The sequence below is a fragment of the Homo sapiens genome, chromosome 11 (assembly GCF_000001405.40).
Source record: "Homo sapiens chromosome 11, GRCh38.p14 Primary Assembly".
Classification (NCBI taxonomy): domain Eukaryota; kingdom Metazoa; phylum Chordata; class Mammalia; order Primates; family Hominidae; genus Homo; species Homo sapiens.
The window spans coordinates 82,953,655-82,972,254 of NC_000011.10; the positions used below are offsets into that span (position 1 = coordinate 82,953,655).

Consider the following 18,600-nt stretch of genomic DNA (forward strand, 5'->3'; position numbering starts at 1 on the left):
TCCATGTAGTTGTGCAATTTTGAGTGAGTTTCTCAATCTTGAGTTCTAGTTTGATTGCACTGTGGTCTGAGAGACAGTTTGTTGTGATTTCTGTTCTTTTATATTTGCTGAGGAGTGTTTTATTTCCAATTATGTAGTCAATTTTAGAATAAGTGTGATGTGCTGAGAAGAATGGATATTCTTTTGATATGGGGTGGAGAGTTCTGTAGATGTCTATTATGTCTGCTTGGTCCAGAGCTGAGTTCAAGTCCTAGATATCTTTGTTAAGTTTCTGTCTTATTGATCTGTCTAATATTGACAGTGGAGTGTTAAAGTCTGCCATTATTATTCTTGTGTGGGAGTCTAAGTCTCTTTGTATGTCTCTAAGAACTTGCTTTATGAATCTAGGTGCTCATGTATTGGGTGCATATATATTTAGGAGTTAGCTCTTCTTGTTGAATTGATCCCTATACCATTATGTAATGGCCTTCTTTCTCTCTTTTGATCTTTGTTGGTTTAAAGTCTGTTTTATAAGAGACCAGGATTTCAACCCCTGCTTTTTTTTGCTTTCCATTTGCTTGGTAGATCTTCCTCCATCCCTTTATTTTGAGTCTATGTGTGTTTTGCATGTGAGATGGGTCTCCTGAATGCAGCATACCAATGGGTCTTGACTCTTTATCCAATTTGCCAGTCTGTGTCCTTTAATTGGGGCATTTAGCCCATTTACATTTAAGGTTAATATTGTAATATGTGAATTTGATCCTGTCATTCTGATTCTAGATGATTATTTTGCCCATTAGTTGATGCAGTTTCTTCATAGTGTCGATGGTCTTTACAATTTGGTATGTTTTTGCAGTGGCTGGTACTGGTTTTTCCTTTTCATATTTAGTGCTTCCTTCAGGAGCTCTTGTAAGGTAGGCCTGGTGGTGATAAAATCTCTCAGCATTTGTTTGTCTGTAAAGGATTTTATTTCTCTTTCACTTATAAAGTTTAGTTTGGCTGGATATGAAATTCTGGGTTAGAAATTCTTTTCTTTAAGAATGTTGAATATTGGCCCCCACTCTCTTCTGGCTTGTAGGGTTTCTGCTGAGAGATCCACTGTTAGTCTGATGGGCTTCCCTTTGTGGGTTACCCAACCTTTCTCTCTGGCTTCCCTTAACAATTTTTTCCTTCATTTCAACCTTGGTGAATCTGATGATTATGTGTCTTGGGGTTGCTCTTCTTGAGGAGTATCTTTGTGGTGTTCTCTGTATTTCCTGAATTTGAACGTTGGCCTGCCTTGCTAGGTTTGGGAAGTTCTCCTGGATAATATCCTGAAGAGTGTTTTCCAACTTGGTTCCATTCTCCCTGTTACTTTCAGATATAACAATCAAACGTAGATTTGGTCTTTTCACATAGTCCCATATTTCCTAGAGGCTTTGTTGATCTCTTTTCACCCTTTTTTCTCTAATCTTATCTTCTTGCTTTATTTCATCGAATTGATCTTCATTCTCTGATATCCTTTCTTCCACTTGATTGATTCAGCTATTGATACTTTCATATGCTTCACAAAGTTCTCGTGCTGTGTTTTTCAGCTCCATCAGATCATTTATGTTCTTCTCTAAACTGGTTATTCTAGTTAGCAATTTTTCTAACCTTTTTTCAAGGTTCTTAGCTTCCTTGCATTGAGTTAGAACATGCTCCTTCAGCTTGGAGGAGTTTGTTATTACCCACCTTCTGAAGCCTACTTCTGTCAATTCTTCAAACTCATTCTCCGTCCAGTTTTGTTCTGGATGGTTTTGTTCTCTTTGCTGGCAAGGAGTTGTGATCCTTTGGAGAAGAGGCACTCTGATTTTTGTAATTTTCAGTCTTTTTATGCTGTTTTTTCCCCATCTTCATTGATTTATCTAACTTTGGTCTTTGATGTTGGTGACCTTTGCATGGGTTCTCTGAGTGGACATCCTTTTTTCTGATGTTGATACTATTCCTTTCTGTTTGTTAGTTCTCCTTCTAACAGTCAGGACCCTCTGCTGCAGGTCTGCTGGAGTTTGCTGGAGGTCCACTCTAGACCCTATTTGTCTGGGTATTACCAGTGGAGGCTGCAGAACAACAAAGATTGCTGCCTGTTCCTTCCTCTGGAAGCTTTGTCCCAGAGAGACACCCGCCAGATGCCAGCAAGAGCTCTCCCGTATGAGGTGTCTGTCAGCCCCTACTGGGAGGTGTCTCCCAAACAGGATACACAGAGCTCAAGGACCCACTTGAGGAGGCAGTCTGTCCCTTTTCAAAGCTTGAACGCTGTGCTGGGAGATCTGCTGCTCTCTTTAGAGCTGCCAGGCAGGGACGTTTAAGTCTGCTGAAGCTGTGCCCACAGCCATCCTTTCCCCCAGGTGCTCTTTCCCAGGGAGATGGGGGTTTTATCTATAAGTCCCTGAGTGGGTCTGCTGCCTTTTTTTCAGAGATGCCCTGCCCAGAGAGGAGGAATCTAGAGAGGCAGTTTGGCCCCAGCAGCCTTGCTGAGCTGTGGTGGGCTCCGCCCAGTTTGAACTTCCTGGAGGCTTTGTTTACACTGTGAGGGTAAAACCACCTACTCAAGCCTCAGCAATGGTGGGCGCCCCTCCCCCAACCAAGCTCAAGCATCTCTGGGCGACCTCAGACTGCTGTGCTAGCAGCGAGAATTTCAAGCCAGTGGATCTTAGCTTGCTGGGCTCCATGGGCATGCGACCTGCCAAGCCAGACTACTTGGATCCCTGGCTTCAGCCCCCTTTCCAGGGAAGTGAATGGTTCCATCTCACTGGTGTTCCAGGTGCCACTGGTGTATGAAAAAAAGAAACTCCTGCAGCTAGTTCAGTGTCTGCCCAAACAGCTGTCCAGTTTTGTGTTTGAAATCTAGGGCCCTGGTGGCGTAGGCACCTGAGGGAATCTCTGGTCTGCTGGTTGTGAAGGCCATGGGAAAAGTGCAGTATCTGGGCCAGAGTGCACCGTTCCTCCTGGTACAGTCTCTCACGGCTTCCCTTGACTGGGGGAGAGAAATCCCCTGACCCCTTTTGCTTCCTGGGTGAGGCAATGCCCCACGCTGCTTCAGCTCACCCTCCATGGGCTGCACCCACTGTCCAACCAGTCCCAATGAGATGAACATGGTACCTCAGTTGGAAATGCAGAAATCACCCACCTTCTGTGTTGATCTCCCTGGGAGCTGCAGACCAGAGCTGTTCCTATTTGGCCATCTTGCCAGCCACCCCACTTTCTGCTAATCTTTAGAGTCAATAACCATTCATTGTTGAGCACATACTTATGTGGTAGGCCCTGTGCCAGGTTCTTTCATTTATTAAAAATATTCAGCAAATTGCAGTTCCAGATTGTACCTGGCACTGTACTAGGTTGAAGATAATTATGCCTTCAAGAATCTCATATGCTATTAGGTGGTATCACATACATTACATCATTTAACTCACATAAAATCCCGTGAAGTAGATATTGTATCTCCATGGCCTCTACTTTCTTATCTGCAAAAAAAAGAAACAATATCTCTTAAGGCTACTATGAGAATTAAATAAGATAATGACTGTGAACATGGTACTTGCTCTCAAGTTCAGTGCTCCTCCCACAGTACCACACCTGCCAGTACCAGCATTTTCTGTTTGCTTCCTTCTGCCCCTTCATTATTCATATACCATTTTGAATTTCCACCTGCTTTATAGTTGTAATATCTTTACTCAATTTCAATTCCTCACTTTCACCATGACCTTTCCCCTGTCTTTCTCCCTCTGTTAAAATTTGAGCTTTCTGTTGTCTCTTCTCTAGCCACCCAAGATGCTAAAACAAAATAAGACCAAGGGGAAGAAGATGGCTGGGGCCCCTGCTGTCATGAAGAAGCAAGAAGCCAAGAAAGTGGTGAATCTCCCCTGTTTGAGAAAAGGCCTAAGAATTTTAGCACTGGACAGGACATCCACCCCAAAGGGATCTCACTCACTTTGTCAAATGGCCTCATTATATTAGGTTGCAGCAGCAAAGAACTATCCTCTGTAGGTCACTGGAAGTGCCTCTTGTGATTAACCAGTTTACCCAGGCCTTGGACCTCCTAACAGCTGCTCAGCTTCTTAAGCTGGCCCACGAGTACAGACCAGTGACAAAGCAAGAGAAGAAGCAGGAATTGTTGGCCCATGCTGACAGGAATGCTGCCAGCAATGGAGACATCCCCACTAAGAGTTCACCTGTCCTTCAAGCAGGGGTTAATACTGTCACCAACTCAATGGTGAACAAGAAGTCTCAGCTGGTGCTGACTGCACAAGATATGGATCCCATCAAGCTGGTTGTCTTCCTGCCAGCCCTGTGTTGTAAAATGGGGGTCCCTTACTGTGTTATCAAAGAGAAGGCAAGGCCGGGAAGTTTAGTCCACAGGAGGACCTGCATCATTGTCACCTTCACACAGGTTAAATGGAAAAAACAAGGAGCTTTAGCTAAACTTTGGGAGCTTCAGGATCAATTACAATGACAGATATAATGAGATCCACCATCAATGGGGAGGCAACATCCTGGGTCCAAAATCTGTGGCTTACAATGCCAAGCCAGAAAAGACAAAGGCTAAAAAACATGCCACTAAGCTTAGTTAAATGCACACTGTTGAGTTTTCTGTACAGAAAGATAATAAAAAATTCTCCTTCAGCCAAAAAGAATTCAAGCTTTCTTTTCTGACCTCTTATGCCCTACATCCCCACCCAATTGAAAGTATTTTTTTGAAAGAATGCCTTACTACTGATACAGTGTCAATTGGTGCTATGATTTGAATGTGTTTCCTCCAAAATTCAGGTGTTGCCAATGTGATAGTATTAAGAGGTGGGATCTGTAGGAGGTGATTAGGCCATGGGGTTCCTCCCTCATCAATAGAATTAAGGCACATATAAAAGAGGCTTCACGTAGCATTTAGCTAGCTTTCCAACTTGTCCTTTCATCATGTGAGGATGCAGCAAAAAGGCCCTCACCAGAAACCAGATGTGAGCACCTTGATCTTGGACTTACCAGCCTCCAGAAGTATGAGAAATGTATTTTATTTTATTTATCATAGATATAAATTACCTAGTCTCAGATTTTTTTTGTTACGGCAGCCCAAAATGGATTAAGACAATGAGAATGTAATTGGTATTAATTATGTGGAAAATAAATTGGCATTATTTATGAAAATTTTAAATTGATGTGCTCTTTTAAAAGCAGCAATCCCACTTCCAGGAATTTATCTCACAAATACACTCATATATGAGAAAGTATAAAAGAAAAATATTCCATAAAGCATTGTTTGCAATAGCAAAATAGTAAAACAAATATCTGTCAAGATACACAAATAATTTAGTATGCATAGAATATTACTGGAAGAATATAAAAAATGATTTAAAAATTAGAGATAGTGTATATAGTATTTTTATAAATACATAAGTATATTTCATAAGTTTATAATATTTTAAAAACTAGTCACCTTCAAAGCCAAATGTGGTGGAATGCACCCATAATCCCAGCTACCTGGGAGGCTGAGGCAAGAGGATCACTTGAGCTCAGGAGTTTGGAGGCTTGGGCACATAGCAAGACCCTGTCTCCAAAAAAAAAGAAAAAAAAAAACTGAGCCCAGGAGTTCAAGACTGGCCTGGACAAGATGGCAAGACCCCATCTCTACAAAAAATGAAAATGAAAATGTTAGCCAGGCACAATTGCACAAGTCTTTAATCTCAGCTACTTGAGAGGCTGAGGCAGGAGGATCCCTTGAGCCCAAGAGTTCGATATGGCAGTGAGCTATGATCATGCCACTGCACTTCTGCCTGGGTGACAAAATAAGACCTCATCTCTTAAAAAAAACAAGGCAAAACAAAAACCTGACATTTAATATTTTTCACGGTTTTGAACAATTAAAAAAACACTAATCACCTTCAGATAATGATAGAGAACCAATTTATTATGTTGATAACTGGTAAAAAGGGAAAAAAATTAAAAATTTATCTTGCTTTTCTCTCATGAATTGTACCATTGGATAACCAAATAGGTGAAGGGAAGCTCTCTTTATAAAAATATTTTAATTAATGCATTTATTAAATGGTAGAAATGGAATATTACCATTTTGTAACCCCCAACAAATAATGGATGCACTCAATGAGCGTCGATGGTTGCTAACATTCCAAAGAGAGACAAGAAGATATCTGCTTTCTGATGGAAGAAGATACCACTTCCTATAATCTTCCCAAAGGGATTAAACATGAGTATACTCCCTCTGCATCCAGCTGTCAATATGAAAAATATACAACTGACAGAACATGCAGACCTCCACCATAAATATAAAATCAGCAAAATCCAGACTGTGAGAAACTGCAGGTCAAACAGTTCACATTCTTCCACAGATTACTGTAAGGGAGAGAAAGAGATATATACTAAAATTATTTAAAATGTATATTAGTTGTTTTTTTTTTTTGAATGGGCAAGATTAAACTTAAGTGCCTTGAGATACACATTTGGGTGCATCACTTCCTTGATGACTACGAAAGTGAAAATAGCGGTTACTTTGAGGTGGAAAGAAGAGATTCTGGGGTGGCTGGCAAAGTTCTATTTCCTGACACAAATACAAGGGTGTTTATAATAGTTCCATTACATAATACACTTTTTCCGTATTCATGTTTTAGTTCATATTAAAGATGTTTAAAGATCAATTTTTTGAAAAAAAGGAATATGTGCATTATACAGAGGGAAGCAAAAGACTCTAATATGTGGAGCCTCTCCCTCTGAGCCATCTCTTAGATATTTTACATACTTGCTCATTTATTCCTTATAAGTAACCTATGAGGATTGAGGAAAATATTTTTGTAAACTTTGTAAACTGAGTTTACAGAGGTCGAGTAACTTTCTCAAGGCTAAGACCATGTCACTAATAAGTGGCAGAACCAGAGCTCTAATTTTTCCAGTACTCTGCACTGCCACTCATGAGGCTAAAGGAGAATGCTGCATGAACCCTCATCTCTCAAGCTAGACATTTCTCGGTGAAACACCTTCCTTCCTGTTGATCAATGTCTGCCACTACTTGAATAACTTAAGGTCAAGCATAGGTTAGGTATCCTGCAGTGGTTTTCTCTGATCTATCACTTGTTTTTCAGCCTAATTTGTGATGTGATTAGAGAAAGTTGCCTCCAAGGGAGAAACATAAATTCACCTGTAAAAAAAAAAAATCACACCTTTCCTCTAATAAGATCCCTTTATGTGCCAAGCCAAAGTGCATGACCACTTGGCCCTTCCGTACAGCTCCTTCACAGTCTGAAGCATTTTCTGCTAACTAGAGGCACCAGCTGTGCCAAGACAAGCTGTTTGTCCACCCCTTGCCTGCCTTGAGTGGGAAATAATAACATGACATTGTAAAACACAGGGGTGCCCAGCAGCCTTTCATTTGGTGAAAGTAACTGCAAGGGCTCAGAGCTGGGTTAATGGATACAACAGTGCCTGTAATCAGATCCAGGTGCTGTATATACTTGTTATTGATTACGACTTCAATAATTGCAAAATCAACCAACCAAAAGAATCATGAAAAAAATATTATGCAAGATGTCTAAACAGAGGCCCCAAAACCAGCAGTTGCTGGAGAAGTATTTATCACCTTTTTCAAGATCCAAGCTTAGGGTATTGTATGTTTGGCAAAATAGCTATATTTCAGCAGGGCTTAAAGAGATTACTTGTCTCAGGGCTTTCAGTTTGGCCGGTAACAGATGAAGACAGATTGATTGAAAGCATTTGAACAAATATAAACTTGAACAAGCTGAATGGACGTGATTAAGTTAATTAGGGTCGATAAATGCCATTGACAATATCTTACAACTCTTCCTTTATCTTGGAGTATTTCTTTCTTATATAACACAGGCAAGTGGATATGGTGACTCTAATATTAAACCTGTAACTGAGTAGCCATTCAGCCTAATTAACTAGACACCATCTCTCAATGGCCTGCTAGATAATTAACGTTTTATTTTATACATGTAATATTACTCATCATTTACTGTATGCCTATTATGTACCAGACACTATGGCATTTACCCTGTATTTTTTGTTTTTTTAATTTATTTAACTTTTATTTTAAGTTCAGGGGTACTTGTGCAGGTTCTTTACATAGGTAAACTTGTGTCATGGGGGGTTTTTGTACAGATTATTTTGTCACCCAGGTATTAAGCATAGTACCCATTAGTTATTTTTCCTGATCCTCTCCCTCCTCCCACCTTCCACCCCCCAATAGGCCACAGTGTGTGTTGTTCCCCTCTGTGTGTCCATGTGTTCTTATCACTTAGCTCCCACTTATAAGTGGGAACATGCCATATTTGGTTTTCTGTTCCTGCATTAGTTTGTTAAGGATAATGGCCTCCAGCTCCATCCATGTTCCTGCAAAGGACATGACACAATCTCATTCTTTTTTATTTTAAGACAGGGTCTGGCTCTGTCACCCAGGATGGAGTATAGTGGTGCAATCTCAGCTCACTGCAACCTCTGTCTCCTGGATTCAAGTCATCCTCCCACCTCAGCCTCCCAAATAGCTGAAACTACAGGCACATACCACCATGCCCAGCTAGTTGAGCTCATTCTTTTTTATGGCTGCATAGTATTCCTTGGTATACATATACCACATTTTCTTTATGCAGTCTATCATTGATGGGCATTTAGGTTGATTCCATGTCTTTGGTATTGTGAATAGTGTTGCAATGAACATATGCCTGTGTCTTCATAATAGAATGATTTATATTCCTTTGGGTGTATACCCACTAATGGGATTGCTGAGTTGAATAGTATTTCTGTCTTCAGATATTTGAGGACTTGCCACACTATTTTCCACAATCATTGAACTAATTTACACTCCCAACAGTGTATAAGTGTTCCTTTTCTCTGCACCCTCACCAGCATCTGTTATTTTTTGACTTTTTAATTGCCATTCTGACTGGTGTAAGATGGTATCTCATTGTGGTTTTGATTTGCATTTCTCTAATGATCAGTGGTGATGAGCTTTTTTCATATGATCGTTGGCCACATGTATGTCTTCTTTTGGAATATGTCTGGTCATGTCCTTTGCCCACTTTTTCATGGGGTTGTCTTTTTCTTGTGAATTTGCTTAAGTTCCTCATAGATGCTGAATATTAGGCCTTTGTCGGATACATAGTTTGCAAAAATTTTCTCCCACTCAGTAGGTTGTCTGTGCACTGTTGATAGTTTCCTTTGCTGTGCAGAAGCTCTTTAGTTTAATTAGATCCCATTTGTCAATTTTGCTTTTGTTGCAATTGTTTTTGGTGTTTTCACCATGAGATCTTTGCTCATTCCTACGTTCAGAAAGGTATTGCTTACATTGTCTTCCAGGGTTTTTATAGTTTTTGGTTTTACATTTAATTCTTTAATCCATCTTGAGTTAATTTTTGTACATGGTATAAGGAAGGGGTCCAGTTTCAATCATCTGCATATAGCTGGCCAGTTATCCAGCACCACTTATTCAATAGGGAATCCTTTCCCCAGTGCTTGTTTTTGTTAGCTTTGTCAAAGATCAGATATTTGTAGGTGAGCAGCCTTACTTCTGGGTTTTCTATTCTGTTTCATTGGTTTATGTGTCTGTTTCTTGTACCAGCACCATGCTGTTTTGATTACTGTAGCCCTATAGTTTAGTTTGAAGTCAGTTATTAATAGCATGATGCTTCCAGCTTTGTTCTTTTTGCTTAGTATTGCCTTGGCTATTCAAGCTCTCTCTCTCTCTTTTTTTTTTTTTCTTGAGACAGTCTCACTCTGTCACCCAGACTGGAATGCAGTGGCGTGATCTTAGCTCACTACAACCTCTGCCTCCTGGGTTCAAGTGATTCTCCTGCCTCAGCCTCCCAAGTAGCTGGAATTACAGGTGCACACCACCATGCCCGGCTATTTTGTATTTTTAGTAGAGATGGAGTTTCACAATGTTGGCCAGGCTGGTCTCAAACTCCTGACCTCAAGAGATCCACCCACCTTGGCCTCCTAAAGTACTGGGATTACAGGCATGAGCCACTGCACCCGGCCTTTTTTTTTTTTTCCAGCTTTGTCACCAGGCTGGCGTGCAATGGCATGATCTCAGCTCTCTGCAACCTCTGCCTCCTGGGTTCAAGTGATTCTCCTGCCTCCGCCTCCCAAGTAGCTGGGATTACAGGCATCAGAGCTTTTTTAAATTCCATATGAATTTTGAAATAGTTTTTCCTAGTTCGTGAAGAATGTTAGTGGTAGTTTAATAGGAATAGCCTTGAGTCTATAAATTGCTTTGGGTAGTATGGCCATTTTAACAATATTGATTCTTCCTATCCATGAACATGGAATGTTTTTCCATTTGTTTGTGCCATCTCTGATTTCTTTGAGCAGTGTTTTGTAGTTCTCCTTGTAGAGATCTTTCACCTCCCTGTTTAGCTGTATTCCTAGGTATTTATTTTATTTTATTTTTGTGGCAGTTGTGAATGGGATTGCATTCCTGATTTGGATCTCGGCTTGACTGTTTTTGGTATGTAAGAATGTAAGTGGTTTTTGCACCATCATTTTGTATCCTGAGACTTTGTTGAAGTTAATGAGCTTTTGGGTGGAGACTATGGGGTTTTCTAGATTAGAATCATGTCATCTGCAAACAGGGATAGTTTGACTTCCTCTCTTCCTATTTGGATGCCCTTTCTTTCTTTCTCTTGCCTGATTGCCGTGGCCAGGACTTCCAATACTGTGTTGAATAAGAGTGGTGAGAGAGGGCATCCTTGTCTTCTGCCAGTTTTCAAGGGGAATGCTTCCAGTTTTTGCCCATTCAGTATGATATTGGCTGTGGGTTTTTCATAGATGGCATTTATTATTTTGAGGAATGTTCCTTGGATACCTAGTTTATTGAGATAATCATGCAGCTTTTGTCTTCTGTTTATATGATGAATCATATTTATTAATTTGTGTATGTTAAACTAAACTTGCATCCAGGGATAAAGCCTACTGGATCGTTGTGGATAAGCTTTTTGGTGTGCTGCTGGATTCAATTTACCAGTATTTTGTTGAGGATTTTTGCATCGATGTTCATCAAGGATGTTGGCCTGAAGCTTTCCTTTTTGTTGTTGTGTCTCTGCCAGGTTTTGGTGTCAGGATGATGCTGGCCTTGTAGAATGAGTTAAAGAGGAGTCCCTTCTCCTCAATTTTTGGAGTAGTTTCAGCAGGAATGGTACTAGCTCTTCTTTGTATATCTGGTAGATTTCAGCTGTGAATCCATCTGATCCTGGGGTTTTTTTGTTGGTAGGCTATTTATTACTGAATCAATTTCAGAGCTCATTATTGGTCTGTTCAGGAATTCAATTTCTTCCTGGTTCAGTCTTGGGAGGGTGTATGTATTCAGGAGTTTACTCATTTCTTCTAGATTTTCTAGTTTATGTACATAAAGGTGTTCATAATATTCTCTGATGATTGTATTTCTGTGGGGTCAGTGGTAATATCCCCCTTGTTATTTCCAATTGTGTTTAGTTGAATCTTCTCTCTTTTATTCTTTATTAGTCTAGTTAGTGGTATATATATTTTTTTTTTTTCAAAAAAAAATCTACTGGATTCATTGATCTTTTGAATGTTTTTTTATGTCTCAATCCCCTTCAATTCAGCTCTGATTTTGGTTATTTCTTTTCTTCTGCTAGCTTTGTTCTTGGTTCTCTAATTCTTTTAGTTGTGATGTTAGGTTGTTAACTTAAGATCTTTCTAAGTTTTTGATGTGGGCATTTAGTGCTATAAATTTCCCTTTTAACACTGCGTGTCCCAGTGTCCCAGGGATTCTGGTATGTTGTATCTTTGTTCTCATTAGCTTCAAAGAACTTCCTGATTTCTGCCTTAATTTTGTTATTTACCCAAAAGTCATTCAGGAGCAGGTATTCAATTTCCATGTAATTGGATGGTTTTGAGTAAATTTCTTAGTCTTTGTTTCTAATTTGATTGTGCTGTGGTCTGAGAGATTGTTTGTTATGATTTCAATTCTTTTGCATTTGCCAACTCAAGTGTCCATGGTGGTTGAGGGGTCTCCTGCCAGGGTTCCAGAGGCCTGTGGTTTCTCCTTGTCAATTCAACTCACCCATTCCTCTGGAGCCATTGTGGGCCAGGAACAAGGTCCAGTGCACAGTAGACCATGCAGGGTTCCCAGCTTTCTCCTCCTTCAGCTCAGCTTCTGGGTCTTCCCTCTGTTCACTCTTGGTGCCTTCCCTCTGAAGATCTATTAGGAGCATGCCAGTCATCTCAGTCCCTCGGTGGGAGCTGTTCCACTTAGCTGTGTCTAGTCAGCCTTCTTGCCCACCCCTAAAGATGATTTTGCACGTACAAATATTGACACTCAGTGGCTGGGCAGAAGTTCTCTCATTTTAAATATCAATTTGAATTGGTAGCCGAAGTTTAAGAATTTACTTCAGAACTGTTCCCTGGTCCTGCTTGCCTCTGTGCAGCACAGCTGGACCATACCCTACAGGTTTCCCACTTCCACTGCAAACACCTGGGAATGCCCTGTATCATTTCATTTAATCCTCTGAACACTGCATGGTCAGTGGTATTAGCTCAATCTTACACAAGAAAAAACTGAGGTTGGCCAGGCGCGGTGGCTCACGCCTGTAATTCCAGCACTTTGGGAGGCCGAGGCAGGCGGATCACAAGGTCAGGAGATTGAGACCATCTTGGCTAACACGGTGAAACGCCGTCTCTACTAAAAATACAAAAAATTAGCCGGGCGCGGTGGCGGGCGCCTGTAGTCCCAGCTACTCGGGAGGCTGAGGCAGGAGAATGGTGTGAACCTGGGAGGCGGAGCTTGCAGTGAGCCGAGATTGTGCCACTGCAGTCCGGCCTGGGCTAAAGAGCGGGACTCCGTCTCAAGAAAAAAAAAAAAAGAAAAAACTGAGGCACAGAGGCAAAATAACTTGTTCAAGGTCACAATCAGTATATGGTAGAATTAGAATTCAGTTTTTTGTCTATAAAACCATGTTCTTCCCACAAATGTTAAGGCAAAAATTGTTAACTGCCTACTCAAATAGTCATTCTCTGCTTCCTTCTCTGTAACAAAACACCTATTTTACTCAGGGTAGCATTATTCCCTATTGAAAGAATATATTTTCCATGCTCCCTTGCAGGCCAAGTCCTGGCCAGAGAGATAAAAATGGAAATGTTGCGTGGAAAATATTATGAAACCACAATACTAGTCCCAGGCTACCAACCTCTAGACTTTCACATGATGACAAAAAACAAGCAAACAGACAAAAATCTTATTTTGTTGTCTCAGATTTCAAAAATTATATATAGCCAAATAATCCTAACCAGCATGCCACATATGTCAGTATTTTACCACATTTTGTTCTTGAGATAGGATCTTGCTCTGTTGCCCAGGCTGAGGTACAGTAGCACAATCATAGCTTACTACAGGTACAAACTTCTGGGCTCAAGTGATCCTCCTACCTCAGCCTCCCAAGTAGCTGGGACTACAGGCACATGCTGCCACGCCTGGTTAATTAAAAAGTTGTGGGGGTTTTTTTGTAGAGATGGGGCCCCACTATGTAGCCCAGTCTGGTCTTCTGGTCTTGAACTCTTGGTCTTAAGTGACCCTCCCGCCTCAGCCTCCCAAAGTACTGGGATTATAGGCTCAAGCCACCATGCCCAGCCCTCACCATGTGTTTTTGTTGTTGTTGTTGTTTTTGAGACAGTCTCACTTATTGCCCAGGATGGAGTGCAGTAGTGCGATCACAGGCTCACTGCAGCCTCGACTTCCTGGGCTCAAGTGATCCTCCCACCACAGCCTCTTGAGTAGCTGGGGCAACAGGCACACACCACCATGCCAGGCTTTTTTTTTTTTTTTTTTTTTTTTTTTTTTTAGAAATGGAGTTCCACCATGTTATGCAGACTGGTTTTGAACTCCTGGGCTCAAGCGATCTGCCTGCCTTGTCCTCCCAAAATGCTGAGATTACAGGCATGTGCCACTGTGCCCAACCACCACATGGTTGGGTGTTTGTTTTTGTGTTTGCGTTGCACAATTTTCTAAAGCCAAATAATTCTGCTCATAATGGCCCATCGATTAGTAAAACAGCTGTCAGTGTCCAAATTATTAGCATTATCTTACAAAAAAAAAATAAACCCAGACCTGGCACGGTGGCTCAGGTCTGTAATTCCAGCACTTTGGGAGACTGAGGTAGCAGAATTGCTTGAGCATAAGAGTTCAGGGCTGCAGTGAGCTGTGATTGTGCCACTGCACTCCAGCCTGGGCAACAGAAAGACATCCTGTCTCTAAAAAAAATAAATAAATAGACCTATAGGTTCTATATTTTTTAAAAAAATACAGAATCCATGCTTGAGGATATCAAAGATATATTTAAAACTTTTCAGATACAATAACGATATTATGGTTGTTTTTAAAACTCTTGTCCTTTAATGATACATACTGGAATATTTCTGGATGAAGTTGTATGATGAGCCAGGTGCAGGCGCTCATATTTGTAATCCCAGCACTTTTGGAGGCCAAGGTGGGAGGACTGCTTGAGGCCAGGAGTTCAAGACCAGCCTGGGCAATAAAGCAAGACCCCCATCTCTAAAAAAAAGTTATTAAATTAAATTGAAATTTAAAAATTAAGAAAAAAATTGTATGATGTATGGGCCTTGCTTCAAAATAATACAGAATGGAGAAAATGGGGGGAATATAGATAAAATAAAATTGACCATGAGTTGATAATTATTGCAATTATTGACCGTGAGTTGATAATTGTTGCAATTATTGACCATGAATTGATAATTATGTGTACATAAAGTATCATTACACTATTTTGCTTTTATCTATGTTGACATTTTCTATAATATAATACAAAGTTAAATAAGATATAGCCAGAATCAAGAGCACTTCCCACAATCTCCAAACTTACTCCTATGGTACAAGTCACCTTTTCTCACCTGCAGTTTACCAGTAGTCTCCCTAGATGGTTTCATTTCTTCTGCCTTTGCCCCTTTATAATCTATTCTACAGGGCAGCAGAGTGACCATGTTAAAATATAAATCCAAATTGCTCCTCTACTCAAAACCCTCCAAGGGCTGCCATTTTACTCTAGGTGAAAACCAAAGTCCTTGCAATGGCCTCCAAGGTGCTGTGATCTATGCCAGTATCCCCCTCAAATCTCATCTATCCTTGCCCCATTCATTGATTTTGTTTCACCCATACCAGAATCCCTGATGCTCCTAGAGAACCAGGAATTCTTTTGCCTTAATGTCTGTGCACATTCTGTTCCCTCTGCCTAGAACATGTTTCATCAAGATTTGTATACTGTTCCCTTCCTCACTTCTTTCAGGTCTATTTTCAAATGACACATTATCAATGAAGCCTTCCCTTGACCACCATACATAAATTAGCAACACTCCACCATCATGACCTTTCCCTGGTTTGTTTTTTCTTTCTCACCCTCACTCAGGCTGGAGTGCCATGGCACAATCACTGCTCACTGCAGCCTTGACCTCCTCCTCAAGTGATCCTTCCACCTCAGCCTCCTGAGTAGCTGGGACTACAGGCATGCACCAGCATGCCAGCTAATTTTTTGTATTTTGTAGAGAAGGGATTTCGCCATATTGACCAGGCTGGTCTTGAACTCCTGGGCCCAAGCAATCTGCCCACCTTGGCCTCCAAAAGTGCTGGGATTACAGGTGTGAGCCACCATGCCTGGCCTTATTTTCTTCATAGTCATTATCACCACTTGATGTACTATACATTTCTTTATTTTCTACCCCTTCCATGCTATGATGCAAATTCCACAAAAGTACCTTTTTTTTATTTTGTTCACTGCTATAGTTCCAGTCACTAGAACACTACCTGGCGCATAATAATAGGTAACTGGCAAATAAATGAAGACAAGCATTGAGATCCTCATTTAACAAATGAGAAAACCGAGGTGAAAACAGGTTAAGTAACTTGTCCAAAATAATATAGGTACTTTGGCCTAAAGCCTTTGTACTCTTCATTCCCTTTGCTCAGAATATTTCCATGTTCAAAGCAGTGTCTTAATCTTTGCCTTGCCTCAAAATCTGTATGCATTGTACTTCAGGAGCTGAAAGTACTTCACAGGGTTACGATGAAGATTAAATATAAATATGAGCATCAGTAAACTTTGTAGAATGTCAGGCCTCATACAGTTTTTAATTCTTGTGGGTTCATCTCTAAGATCAAAGTCAGAAACACTGTTTCTCCAAGCTTATTTTGATCTAGATGTGAAAATGTAACCATTCTATGGCCCGAATAAATTCCAGGCATGAAAATACAGATAAGATGTCTTATATTATTAACATGTGTTTCTTGCAAGTAATGGAAATAAGATATTTCAGTTCCTGAAATGTACTACAGGTCTTGAACTATTCAGATGTGAGCACCTGGCCGAAAGTACACCCATGTGATTATGGTTTAACTATAGCTCGAGGTTTCATCTCTCAGTTGCAGATGCGTTTTGAGGTATATAGATAGCATATATCAATTATAGTCTGCCAGGTAGCAGACATGGAATAACTGAGTCAATTAGTAATAGTGATCCTCAATGTTTTTCAAAATACTGATTTCCAGTTTGCCAAAGAATTGTGTATCTGTAGTATTACACTGCCCATGTGAGAAGCACAATGATCTAAACATTTTGATATTTTAGGAATAAACTGTATTTATGCTTTTTTTCAGTGATCTGTAATGATTTTTATATGAATGAGCATTTTAAAATTATATGCAAGTTTGCAATTTGTCCCATTTAACTAGTGGAAAAACCAATGTGCAAGGCAAACTAACTTGTCCAAATTCCCTTAGTGGTTAAAACAAAGCAGAATGAAAAAACTTAAAGTGGCATTTGCCTGCCAGTCTTTGCTGCTATGACTTACAAGATCATATTGAGAGGTGACAGCATGCTGGCAGCCCGCGCAGCGTCGCTCGCTCTCGGTGCCTCCTCGGCCTCGCCGTCCATTCTGGCCGCGCTTGAGGAGCCCTTCAGCCCGCCGCTGCACCATGGGAGCCCTTCTCTGGGCTGGCCGAGGCCGGAGCCGGCTCCCTGGGCTTGCGGGGAGGTGTGGAGGGAGAGGGACAGGCGGGAACCGGGGCTGCACGCGGCGCTTGCGTGCCAGCTAGAGTTCCGGGTGGGCGTGGACTTGGCGGGCCCCGCACTGGGAGCGGCCCGCCGGCCCTGCCGGCCCGTGCAGTAAGGGGTTTAGCACCCGGGCCAGCAGCTGCGGAGGGTGCGCCGGGTCCCCCAGCAGTGCTGGCCCACCGGCGCTGCGCTCGATTTTTCGCCGGGCCTTAGCTGCCTCCCCGCGGGGTAGGGCTCGGGAGCGGCAGCCCGCCATGCCTGAGTCTCCCCCTCACCACCGTGGGCTCCTGCGCGGCCTGAGCCTCCCTTACCAGCGCCGCCCCATGCTCCAAGGCGCCCGGTCCCATCGACCGCCCAAGGGCTGAGGAGTCCGGGCAGGCTCACGGCGCGGGACTGTAAGGCAGCTCCACCTGCGCCCCGGTGGCAGATCCACTGGGTGAAGCCAGCTGGGCTCCTGAGTCTAGTGGGGACCTGAGTCTAGAACCTTTATGCCTAGCTGGGGGATAGTAAACACACCAATCAGCACCGTGTGTCTAGCTCAGGTTTGTGGATGCACCAAACAGCACTCTGTATCTAGCTAATCTGGTGGGGACTTGGAGAACCTTTATGTCTAGCTAAGGGATTGTAAATGCACCCATCAGCACTGTGTCTAGCTCAAGGTTTGTAAATGCACCAATCAGTGCTCTGTGTCTAGCTGATCTGGTGGGGACTTGGAGAACCTTTAAGTCTAGATAAGGGATTGTGAATATACCAATTGGCACTCTGCATCTAGCTAATCTAGTGGGGACCTGGAGAACTTTTGTGTCCAGCTCAGGGATTGTAAACGCACCAATCAGCACCCTGTCAAAATGGACCAATCAGCTCTCTGTAAAACAGACCAGTCGGCTCTCTGTAAAATGGACCAATCAGCAGGATGTGGGTGGGGCCAGATGAGAGAATAAAAGCAGGCTGCCGGAGCCAGCAGTGGCAAGCTGCTGAGGTTACCTTCCACACTGTGTAGGTTTTATTCTTTGGCTCTTTGCAATAAATCTTGCTGCTGCTCGCTTTTTTTGGTCCACACTGCTTTTATGAGCTGTAACACTCACCTCAAAGGTCTGCAGCTTCACTCCTGAGCCAGCTAGACCACAAACCCACCAGAAGGAACAAACTCCGGACACGGCGCCTTTAAGAACTGTAGCACTCACCGCAAGCCTCCGTGGTTTCATTCTTGAAGTCAGTAAGACCAAGAACCCACCAATTCTGGACACAATATGAGAATGATATAAAATTGCAAGTATCTGGCTGTTTTTGACTTATAAGAATGCCAATTCCATGTGGTTCAAACTAATATTAATAATGGAACAGGTAAAAACCATGACACGTGTGAATTTAGAAAAGAAATTTCTGCAAACACATTCTTTTAGTGAAGGTGCTAAAATAGCAAAATTAAGAGCCTCCTACCAACTGCAGATAAGCTGACATAGGACAATAACAAAATTATAGCAGATGATTTTCAAAGCCCAATACTTTATAAATACCAAATAATAGTGGCAGAAAGGGTTACAGTTTGCCTATGTTCAATTAACTAAAG

The 18,600-nt window shown here is 41.7% G+C and overlaps 1 pseudogene, besides 3 other annotated features; it reads left to right on the forward strand.

The window, feature by feature from the left end:
- RPL7AP54 (ribosomal protein L7a pseudogene 54) lies at positions 3,738 to 4,620 on the forward strand (annotated as a pseudogene).
- Positions 7,065 to 7,224: an enhancer, noted in NCBI's record as "active region_5337". NCBI's record gives its function as "activates an Ori minimal core promoter by ATAC-STARR-seq in GM12878 lymphoblastoid cells {active_cell/tissue: GM12878}" and the evidence as "EXISTENCE:reporter gene assay evidence [ECO:0000049][PMID:35858748]".
- Positions 18,026 to 18,105: an enhancer, noted in NCBI's record as "active region_5338". NCBI's record gives its function as "activates an Ori minimal core promoter by ATAC-STARR-seq in GM12878 lymphoblastoid cells {active_cell/tissue: GM12878}" and the evidence as "EXISTENCE:reporter gene assay evidence [ECO:0000049][PMID:35858748]".
- Positions 18,166 to 18,255: an enhancer, noted in NCBI's record as "active region_5339". NCBI's record gives its function as "activates an Ori minimal core promoter by ATAC-STARR-seq in GM12878 lymphoblastoid cells {active_cell/tissue: GM12878}" and the evidence as "EXISTENCE:reporter gene assay evidence [ECO:0000049][PMID:35858748]".